We start from the raw sequence: 11,825 nt of genomic DNA, 5'->3' as shown, positions 1-11,825 counted from the left end.
AAGATCTTACCTAGTCTTCTCTACAGTCACATCCCCTAAGAACGGGAGGGAAGAGAAAGAGAAAGGAAAGAAAATACAGAGGAAAAGAAAGAAAAAGAAAAAGTCCTACCCACAATAAAATAATTACAAAACTGGCCGGGTGCAGTGGCTCTCACATGTAATCCTAGCATTTTGGGAGACAAAGGTGGGTGGATCACTTGAGGTCAGCAGTATGGGACCACCCTGGCCAACAAGACAAAGCCCCATTTCTACTAAAAATACAAAAAAATTAGCTGGCCATGGTGGTGCATGCCTGTAATCCTAGCTACTTGGGAAGCTGAGGTGGGAGGATCACTTGAATCTGGGAGGCCGAGGTTACAGTGAGCCAAGCCTGGGAGACAGAGTGAGACTCTGTCAAAAAAAAAAAAAAAAATTTACAAAACTTAGAAATACCAGTGTCTCCAGATTAGTAGGAACCAGCACAAGAATTCTTGCACCATGAAAAATCTGAATGTAGTGACACTACCAAAAGTTCACACAGCTCTCCAGTAATGGTTCCTAATGAAAATGGAAACTCAGAAATGACAGATAAAAAAATTCAAAGCATGGATTGCAAGGAAAATCAATTAGATCCAAGATAAGATTGAAAATCAACACAAAGAAACTTCTAGAGCAATCCAGGAAATGAAGAAAGAGATAAACATCCTAAAAAGAAATCAACCAGAGTTTCTGGAATTGAGAAACTCACTTAAGGAATTTCAAATACAATTGAAAGCTTTATTAATAGACTAAACCAAGCAGAAGAAAGAATTTCAGAGTCTTGTCTTTCAAACTAATCCAGCGAGACAAAAATAAAGAAAATAATTTAAAAAAATGAATAAAGTTTTCAAGAAATATGGGGAGCATATAAAGCGACCAAAGGTATGAAGTATGGAATTCTGGAAAGAAGGAGAAAAAGCAAACAAACTGGAAAACATATTTGAGGGAATAATTTAAGATAATTTCCCTAATCTTTCCAGAAACATTGACATCTGGGTACAAGAAATCCAAAAAACACCTGAAAGATGCTATACAAAGTGAACATCATCAAGGCATATAGTCACGACTGTCCAAGGTCATTGCTAAAGATAAAAATCCTTTTTTTTTTTTGAGACAGAGTTTCACTCTGTCACCCAGGCTGGAGTGCAGTGGCGTGATCTCAGCTCACTGCAATCTCTACCTCCCAGGCTCAAGCGATTCTTCTGCCTCAGCCTCCCAAGTAGCTGGGATACAGGCATGCACCACCACCCCCAGCTAATTTTTGTATTTTTAGTAGAGATGGGGTTTCACCATGTTTGTCAGGCTGATCTTGAACTCCTAACCCTGTGATACACTCGCCTTGGCCTACCAAAGTGCTGGGATTATAGGTGTGAGCCACTGCACCCGGCAAGAAAAAAATCTTAAAAGCAGCTAGAGAAAAAGGTCAGATCATGTACAAAGGGAACCCCATCAGGCTAACAGTGGACTTCTTAGCAGAAACCTTAAAAGCTAGGAGAGATTGGGGACCTATTTTTACCATTCTTAAACAAAAGAAATTCCAACCAAGAATTTCACATCCTGCCAAACTAAGCTTCATAAGCAAAGAAGAAATAAAATATTTTCCAGACAAGCAAGTGCTAAGGGAATTCATTGTCACTAGACCAGCCTTATGAGCAATCCTTAAGGGAGTTCTAAACAGAAATAAAAGCACAAAAGCACGCTAAAGTACATAACTCACAGACCCTATAAAACAACCACACAACAGAAACTGCAAAGCAACCAGCTAACAAATTTGTGTTAGGATCAAAACCTCACATGTCAATATTAACCTTAAAGGTAAATGGTCTAAATGACCCACTTAAAAGTCAAAGTGGCAAGTTGGATAAAAATATCAAGACTCATCTGTCTGCTGTCTTCAAGAGACCCATCTCACAGGTAACTACACCAACAGGCTCGAAGTAAAGAGTTAGAGAAAGATCTACCACACAAACAGAAAACAAAAAAAGAGCAGAAGTTATTGTTTTTATATCAGATGAAACAGAATTTAAACCAACAACAGTGAAAAAGTAGAAAGAAGGGCATTATATAATGATAAAGGGTTCAATTCAACAAGAAGACTCAACTATCCTAAATATATATGCACCCAAAATTGGAGCACGCAGATTCATAAAGCAATTACTTCTACACCTATGCAAAGACTTAGACAGCCACACAATAATAACGAGGGACTTCAGTATCCCACTGGCAGTGTTAGACAGATCGTTGAGGTAGAAAGCTAACAAAGAAATTCTGGACTTAAATTCGACACTTGATGAATTGGAATTAATAGACATCTGCAGAATACCCCACTCATCCACCACAGAATATACACTCTTCTCATCTGCACACAGAGCATACTCCATGATCAACCACATGCTCAGCCATAAAGCAAGTCTGAATAAATTCAAAAAAATTGAAATCATACCAACCATACTCTTAGACCACAGTGGAATAAAACTAGAAATCAATAGCAATAAGATCTCTCAAAACCACACAATTACATGGAAATTAAATAACTTGCTCTTGAGTGACTTTTTGGCTAATAATGAAATTAAGGCAAAAATTTAAAAATTCTTTGAAATAAAAGATAACAGAAACACAACATATCAAAATCTCTGGAGTGCAGCAAAAGCAGTCTTAAGAGGAAAGTTTATAGGTCTAAATGCCTACCTCAAAACATTAGAAATATCTCAAACTATCTAATATCACACCTAAAGAAACTAGAAAAGCAAGAACAAACTAACCATAAGCTAGCAGAAGAAAAGAAATAACTACAATCGAAGCTGAACTGAATGAAATTGAGACCCCAAAATTCATACAAAACATCAACAAAACCAAAAGCTGGTTCTTTGAAAGGATAAACAGGACTGATAGACCACTATCTAGATTATCAAAAGAAAAAAAAAGAGAAGATCCAAATAAACACAATCAGAAACAACAAAGATGACATTACAACCAATTCCACAGAAACACAAATGATCCTCTGAGACTATTATGAACACCTCTATGCATACAAACTAGAAAATACAGAAGAAATGAATAAATCCTTGGAAACACACAATCTCTCAAGATTGAACCAAGGAGAAATTGAAAACCTAAACAGGGCAATACTGAGTTCTGAAATTGAAGTAGTAATTTAAAAATCAACCAATTAACAAAAGCCCTGGACCAGATAGATTTACAGCTGAATTTTACCAGATATACAAAAGAGAGCTGGTACTAATTCTACTGAAACCAATCCAAAAAATTGAGGAGGAGGTTCTCCTCCCTAACTCATTCTATGAAGCCAGCATCACACTGATACTAAAGCTAGACAAGGATAAAACAAATGAAGAAAACTACAGACCAATATTGCTGATGAACACAGACAGAAAAATCCTCAACAAAATACTAGCAAATTGAATTCATCAGTACATCAAAAAGTTAGATCAAGTAGGTTTCATTCATGGAATGCATGGTTGGTTCAACATACACAAATTAATACATATGATTCATCACATAACAGAATTAAAAACAAAAACCTTATGATCATCTTAATAGATGCGGAAAATGCTTTCTATAAAAGCTATAACTTCTATCTGATAAAAACTCTCAAGAAACTAGGCATCAAAGGAACATACTTTGAAATAATAAAGAGCTATCTATGACAAACCTACAGCCAACATCATACTGAATAGGCAAAAACTGAAAGCATTCCCTTTTGAGAACTGGAACAAGACAAGAATGGTCGCTCTTACTACTCCCATGCAACATAGTACTGGAAGTGCTAGCCAGAACAATCAGGCAAGAAAAAGAAATAAAAGGCATCCAAACAAGAAAAGAACAAGTCAAACTATATCTCTTCATGAATAATATGATTCTATACCCAGAAAACCCTGGAGACCCTGCTAAAAGGCTCTTGAAACTGATAAGCAACTTCAATAAAGTTTAAGGATACCAAATCAATGTACAAAAGTAGGTAGAATTTCTATACCCCAATAACATTCCAGCTGAGAGCCAAACCAAGAATGCAATCCCATTTACAATAACCACAAAAACAAACAATAAAATACCTAGGAACACATCTAACGAAGGTGGTGAAAGATCTCTATAAGGAGACTTACAAAACACTGCTAAAAGAAATAATAGATGACACAAACAAATGGAAAAACATTCCATGCTCATTAATTGGAAGAATGAACATCATTAAAACGGCCATACTGCCCAAAGCAATCTACGGATTCAAGTTATTCCTATCAAACTATCAATGTCATTTTTTTCACACAACTAAAAATACTATCCTAAATTTCATGTGGAAATTAAAAAGAGCCTGGATAGCCAAAGCAATCCTAAGCAAAAACAACAAAGCCAGAGGCATCACATTACCCAATGTCAAACTATACTATAAGGCTACAGTAATCAAAACAGCATGGTATTGATACAAAAACAGACACATAGACCAGTGGAACAGAATAGAGAACTAGAAATAAAGCTGCAAACCTACAGTCATCTGATTTTCAACAAAGTTGACAAAAATAAGCAATGGAGAAAGGACACCCTCTTCAATAAGTTGTGCTGGAATAGCTGGCTAACCACATGCAGAAGAATGAAACTAGACCCTTTTTTTATACCATATACAAAAATTAACTCAAGATGAATCAAAACTGAAATGTAAAACCCCAAACTATAAAAACCATGGAAGACAACCTAGGCAATACTATTCTGGTCATAGGAACAGGCAAAGATTTCATGATGAAGATGCCAAAAGCAATTATAACAACAGCAAAAATTGTCAAATGAGATCTAATTAAATGAAAGAGCTTCTGCACAGCAAAATAAACTATCAACATAGTGAACAGGCAACCTGCGGAATTGAAAAAAATTTTTTTGCAAATTATGTGCGTGACAAAGGCCTAATAGCCAGCATCTATAAGGAACTTAAACAAATTTACAAGAAAAAACCAAACAACCCCATTAAAAAGTGGGCAAAGGACATGAACAGACACTTTTCGCAAGAAGACATACATGCAGTCAACAATCATATGAAAGAAAGGTCACCATCACTGATAATTAGATAAATGCAAATCAAAACTACAATGAGACACCATCTCGCACCAGTCAGAATGGCTACTATTAAAAAGTCAAAAAAATAATTAGCCGGGTGTGGTGGCACACCCTGTAATCCCAGCTACTCGGGAGGCTGATGTGGGAGAATTGCTTGAACCCAGGAGGTTGAGGCTGCAGTGAACCGAGTTCGTGCCACTGCACTCCAGCTTGGGCAACAGAGAGAGACCCTGTCTCAAAAAAAAAAAAAAAAAAAAAAAGGGCCTGGCACAGTGGCTCACGCCTGTAATCCCAACTCCTAACACTTTGGGAGGCCAAGGCAGGCAGATCACAAGGTCAGGAGTTCGAGACCAGCCCGACCAACATGGTGAAACCCCCGTCTCTACTAAAAATACAAAAATTAGCCAGATGTGGTGGCATGCACCTGTAATCCCAGCTACTCAGGAGGCTGAGGCAGGAGAATCGCTTGAACCCAGGAGGCGGAGGTTGCAGTGAGCCGAGATCGCACCACTGCACTCCAGCCTGGGCGACAGAGCAAGACTCCATCTCAAAAAAAAAAAAAAAAAAGTAAAAAAATAACAGATGCTGTTGAGACTGTGGGAGAAAGGGGAGTGTAAATTAGTTCAGCCATTGTGGAAGACATTGTAGTGATTCCTCAAAGACCTAAAAACAGGACTACCATTTGACTCAGCAATCCCATTACTGGGTATATACCCCAAGGTATATAAATCATTCTATTATAAAAATACATGCACATGTATGTTCACTGCAGCACTATTCACAATAGCAAAGACATGGCATCAACCTAAATGCCCATCAGTGGTAGACTGGATAAAGAAAATGTGGTACAGACACACCATGGAATATTATGCAGCCATAAAAAAACCCCATGAGATTATGTCCTGTGCAGGATCATGGATGGAGCCGGAGGCCATTATCCTTAGCAAACTAACACAAGAACAGAAACCAAATACTACATGTTCTCATTATGAGACACATGGATACATAGAGAGAAAGAACACACACTGGGACTTATTTGAGGGCAAAGTGTGGGAGGAGGGAGAGGATCAGGAAAAATAATGAGTACAAGGCTTAATACCTGGGTGATGAAATAATCTGTACAACAAACTCCCATGACACAAGTTTACCTATATAACAAACCTACACATGTACCTCTGAACTTAAAATAAAAGTTAAATTTAAAAAAGAGACAGAGACAGCAGATCAGAAAGATAAACAGCAAAATATTAATGCTGGTTATCACTGGTTGGTGGGATATTAGACAATTTTTGCTTTTAACCGTGATCATTCAAATGCTTTATATTGAACCTGTACTGTTTTCAACATTAAAAAAAATACTCAGGTTTAAGAAGAAACTAAAAAATAAAAACAGAAAATTGAAGAATGCTCTTCTCTGTACTCTTAAAGCAAACAGGCCTGTTTGCCTTAAGAAAAGTTTAAAAAGCACAAATAAGAACTGTAAAAAGCACTGCAAATGTTAGATGATAAGGTATATGTTGTGTAGAAAGTGAAAATTGTATCTTTTATAAAACCATTATTAAACAAAGAAATACAATGTAAATTTCCTGGAAACATACCAGAAGCAAAACTTTTAAACAAAATTCTGAGCTGGGTTTGACTTCTAGGACTGCATGGGCCCCTATTGTAGCAGCTGTGAGTGCAGAAACCCAAAAGATCAGAGAGCAAGGTGATACCTGTGACTTAGCCCTTCAGTGTCAACCTGGACACATCCTCATAATAGCCCCATTCCCTAAAGGATGCGGTTCCCTGGATGGTCCAAAGTGGGACTTCAGCCTAGTCTTTACAGACTTTTTAAGCAAAAACTCAGGGAGGTTAAATAACAAGCCAAGGTTGCCCAGTTGGGGAGGCCTGATGTCTTGAGAATCTGTGTTTTCCCTACATCCCTGTCCTCAGTTGAGATTATCTGAGGAATGTAAAGGCAGAAATTTTTGTTACCTGGAGATTTGAAGAGAGACCAAATGTTTGTGGGAAAACGACAGTCAAATCGACCATCAAAATCAGTAGAAATGTATTCCTATTTACCAATTTTAACACGTTAATACCAATAATCATTTTTCTGTGCACCAATTGTATAGCTTAAGAATTTGAAGCTCCCGTACATCAAGTTGGAAGCACTTTTTCTTTAGTGAAGTCTTGGAAAGATCAGAATAACTGGGTTCACACAGCTGGACACTCCTGCCCCCTGCTGGCTAGAATTAACTAAAACCAGACGATTTTAAGTTAACTGTAGGAACAACACTTTGAAACCTCTCAACTTTTCTAATAAAAGATAGCCAGCTCTTCCCTTACTTTGACGGGTAAAGTTCTTAGTTTATTTTCTTCAAAAGAGAGAGAGAGGGAACAGCTTGCATTCTGCTTTTCCCTCCTCTTCCTCCATCTTGTTGCCTTGTCATAGCCTGCCCAAGTGCTGATTTGTTTCATTATATGGTAAGAAGATAAGGGCAGTGTGTTTATAATTCAAATGTAATCAACAGTTTAAAATAGTATCCAGTACACAGAAGGTGCTCAGTAAATGTTGAGCAAATAAGAAGCAGAGGCAAAGTTGGAGAGAAAGCTGGAGAGAAAGATTGAGAGACGAGGATAAGAAAGAGAACCTATTCTTTCATGGACTGTTTCTCCCCTCTATTTGGGAGAGATATTTATTTAAGAAATACTAATATCATCCTTAGTATGTGCCAGGCATAGGAAATAGGAACTCAGTTAAGTAGGCATAAACAGGCATTGTCCTAAGCACTTTACAAATATTCTTAGTCCTCATAATAAACCTATAAAGTGAACATTATTATATTTATTTTACAAATTCGGAGACTAAAGCAGGAAGATTAAGTGAAATTCCCCAATGTTTAATTGCTAGTATAAGTGATGGGGCTGAGATTTAATCCTAGGGAGTTTGGCTCCACAATTCACACTTTTAACCAGACACATGCTGCCTCTCCAAAAAATGCAAAGAGGGGAGAGCAGAGATAGGGGAGAGCACAGAGAGGGGAGAAAAATAGTTGCGGAAGAATTGTACCAATCTTTCCACATAAGTCACTTGCCTTCTGGAACATTGTTAGAGTGGGTTATTTCAAAAGACCTGTCTTCAAGTCTGACATTCTCTCTGCTGCTTGGTCTAGTCTATTGTTGAAGCTTTCAACTATATTTTGTATTTTATTTGAGGACTTCTTCAGTATCAGAATTTCTGTTTGGTTCTTTTTGTATATCTATCTCTTTGGTTAATTTCTCATTTATATCCTGAATTGTTTTTCTGATTTCTTTGTATTGTTTTTTTGAAATTCTCTTGTAACTTACTGAGCTTTTTTAGTATCATAATTTTGAATTCTTGGCCGGGTACAGTGGCTCACACCTGTAATCTCAGCACTTTGGGAGGCGGAGGCAGGCGGATCACTTGAGGTCAGGAGTTCGAGACCAGCCCGGCCAACATGGTGAAACCTCATTTCTACAAAGATACAAAAATTAGCTGGGTGTGGTGGTGCACGCTTGTAATCCCAGCTACTCAGGAGGCTGAGGTAGGAGAATCCCTTGAATCCAGGAGGTGGAGGTTGCAGTGAGCTGAGATCATGCCACTGCACCCCAGCCTGGGTGACAGAGCAAGACTCAGTCTCAAATAATAAATAATAATAATAGTATTGAATTCTTTTTCCAGGATTTCATGAATTTCTTTTTGATTGGGGTCTGTTGCTGAGGAATTATTTATTGTGTTCCTTTGGAGGTGTCATTTCCTTGCTTTTTCAAGCTTCCCTTATTCTTACGTTGATACCTTCTCAACTAGTGTAATAATCACTTCTTCCAGTTTTTTGAATTTGCTTTTATAGGGAAGACATTTTCCTGAGGAGTATCAATGGTGTTGGTTGGGTGGGGCACTTTGGCTTTGCTTCTGGATACCTGTGATAGTGTAGACTCTATGATTTCTTCAGCTGTTAACAGTTTCAGTAGTATTTTTGATTTCCTCAGTGGTTTAGGGTTGGGTTATTAGTGGAGGCTATGCAAAGTTTTGCTGAGGATAGGGAAGCCAAGTGGGCCGGTCTTTGGGCCCCAGTGGTGGCAGCAGTGGGCTGAGTATGCCTGAGCTGGGCCCTGGGCGAATGCTGGCTGATGTTAGCTGGACCAGACCCAGGCCAGTGGACCCTTGGACCTCCAGTAGCTTGCTTAGAGTCTGGTAGTGGCAACGGTAGGCTAGGCGGGCGAGCCCGCTCTTGGGTTTCTAGACAGTGGGCGTGGTGTGGGCAATGGCGGTAGCAGGAAGACCCTCTGGGTCCTGATCGGTGTGCACTGGTGTTGGCTGTGGCTGCGGTGCCGAGTCGCCATCCACAGCTCCAAACCTGCAGCTCTCAGGCCCTCCTGCTCTCTGATACAGCAGTGCCACAGCACCGTGCAGAGTGTGGGAGGGACCCCACCCCTCCCTTCATGTGCAAGCCCGGGCACGGAGGCCACAACTCCAATGGGGTAGTCACCCCTCACAGCCCCAGACAGGCAGCCCTCCAACCTGCCTGCCCTACCTCTGGGGGTAGCGGCAGTGGCTGTGCCTGCAGCGGTGTGCAGAGGGGAAGAGGTCTCACTCTCTACAGCGTTAGCACAAGGTGCAGATGCTGCTCGGCCTCTGGATGGGGACTTCTCTCTTCTCTTACAAAGCGGAGCAGAGTTTGTGCTGCCGCTGGGGGCAGAGTGACTTCTCACAGCCCCAGGAAAGGAAGCTTCGGGCTCTGGAAAACTTGCTCTGGTTTCTTTTGCAGCAGCTGCAGCCTTTCGTCCTTTCCTTAGGGAGTCGTACTCCCTGTGGGCTAGAGTACTGGAGCCCCTGCAGCACCTTTTGGGTCCAGCCAGCGCTGTACCATTGCAGCTGTCCAGTGGACACTGGGGAATGTCAGCAGGAGATCCTGGGATGTGGAGATACGGGGGCTGTGGTTCCCAGGGCAGGGTGCAGTCCCGTGGTGGCTGCACTCCTGCAATGGCACCTGCCGCAGCTCAGGTGGGGTGTGGTGAGAGACCCAGGGCGAGTTTCCTGTCTGGTGCATTGCCCTCTCAGGGTCTCCAAACTACCGCCCAAGCACCGCCTGGGTACCTCTGGGTGGGGGAGCTCCCCGCGCTTAGGATCGCAGCAGTTCGCTTAGGGATGCAGACGTCGAGCCCTCTCACTTACCCTCTCGCCGCAATACCGAGGCCCTCGGGGCTCCTAGCCCATTTCAGCAGAGCTGACTGCTCACTTTCTTTTCCTGAACCTTAGGTATTCCTCTGTTGGACTGTCTCCTAGATGTTCTATTCCAGGTGTGATGATCTATTCACAGGTTTGCTTCTTCTTTCTAGGAGGCGGGGGGTGTCTGACGTCTGTAGTCAGACATCTTGAACTGGACGATCCAGAGGACAGTTTTAATAAGGGAATGCTAATTCCTGGAAAACAGCAGAGTAGGAACTGCTAGGTTCCAAGCTTCACCATGTGTAAGCCCATTTTCTTGGGTAAACTTGCCCAGAGGGGCGTCTGGTCTCAGTCCAGTCCTGAGACATCAGGGGAGGATGGAGGAGGCTGTGGAGCTGAGCAAGTTCTCCAGGACACGGCGAACCTGCTTCCCCACTCAGACACAGCTGCGAAGCTGCCCTTCCTGTATTGTCACTCTGCAGCTCACCTCCTTGTTCTGGGATTCTGGGCAGGCGCTGTGGACACTCTTTGGGTAATAGTAAAACCCCGAAAAAAAAAGAGAGGGAAAACGGCCTTAGATAAAAATATTAATTATATCAGAGACGACCTCACTAGAATGGAGAACTAACGTCGTCATCAATCCAGTGCTACTCACACTTGAGCACTAAAGGGAAACTAATGGCAGAGGAGGGTAAAGCATGCGTGGGGTGGGTTGTAGGACCCAAAACGGTCTTGGGGAAGTAGTTTTCTATTATAGCTTAAAAATAATTCATTAAGTCTTGAATTGTATTTTCTATGAGATCTGTTTGTTTTGCTATAAAACGGTTTTAAAATAGTTACCACTGAGCAAAACTGATACTCCAAGAAGATGTACTGTGTTCATCCTGTGACTCTACTGTGACGTTCGCCTCAATTTGAAAACACAGATCTATTCCTTTCTTTAGTTTTGCCTTAATATAAAAGTTCCCCACACCTCAAATTACTGGGAGAAAATTAAGTTGTTAAAAAGAGACAGGCGGCCGGGAGCGGTGGCTTACGCTTGTAATTCGAGCACTTTGGGAGGCTGAGGTGGGCGGATCACTTGAGGTCAGGAGTTCGAGACCAGCCTGGCCAACATGGTGAAACCCCGTGTCTACTAAAAAACACAAAAATCAGCTGGGCATGGTGGCGCACACCTGTAATCCCAGCTACTTGGAAGGCTGAGGCAGGATAATCCCTTGAACCCAGGAGGCGGAGGTTGCAGTGAGCCAAGATCGTGACACTGCAATCCAGCATGGGTGACAGGGCAAGATTCCGTGTCAAAAAAATAAATAAATAAATAAAAAGGGAGAGAGAGAGAAAGAGAGAGAGAGAGAGAGAGAGAGAGAGACATGGCATAGAAAGCACAAATATTCTTTATGTTTAAACTTGAGAGTTACATATCTTGAGATGAAGGATTATAATAACCACTAACTGACCAAACAGAAGATGCTTCTGCACTAGTGTGATGCCTTCAAATACTATTTACAAGTGCTTTGAGAAGTTTTCTTTGTTTTGTTTTGTTTTGTTTTGTTTAGACAGGGTCTCACTC

The 11,825-nt window shown here is 40.9% G+C and overlaps 1 annotated feature.

The window, feature by feature from the left end:
- Positions 9,704-10,513: an enhancer, noted in NCBI's record as "H3K27ac-H3K4me1 hESC enhancer chr12:62828889-62829698 (GRCh37/hg19 assembly coordinates)". NCBI's record gives its function as "activates a minimal SCP1, AML or CMV promoter by ChIP-STARR-seq in primed H9 embryonic stem cells {active_cell/tissue: H9 hESC(primed)}" and the evidence as "EXISTENCE:reporter gene assay evidence [ECO:0000049][PMID:30033119]".

The sequence above is a fragment of the Homo sapiens genome, chromosome 12 (genome assembly GCF_000001405.40).
Source record: "Homo sapiens chromosome 12, GRCh38.p14 Primary Assembly".
Lineage (NCBI taxonomy): Eukaryota > Metazoa > Chordata > Mammalia > Primates > Hominidae > Homo > Homo sapiens.
Note: the sequence above shows the minus strand (reverse complement) of the source record. Positions and strands in the feature narration are given on the sequence as shown.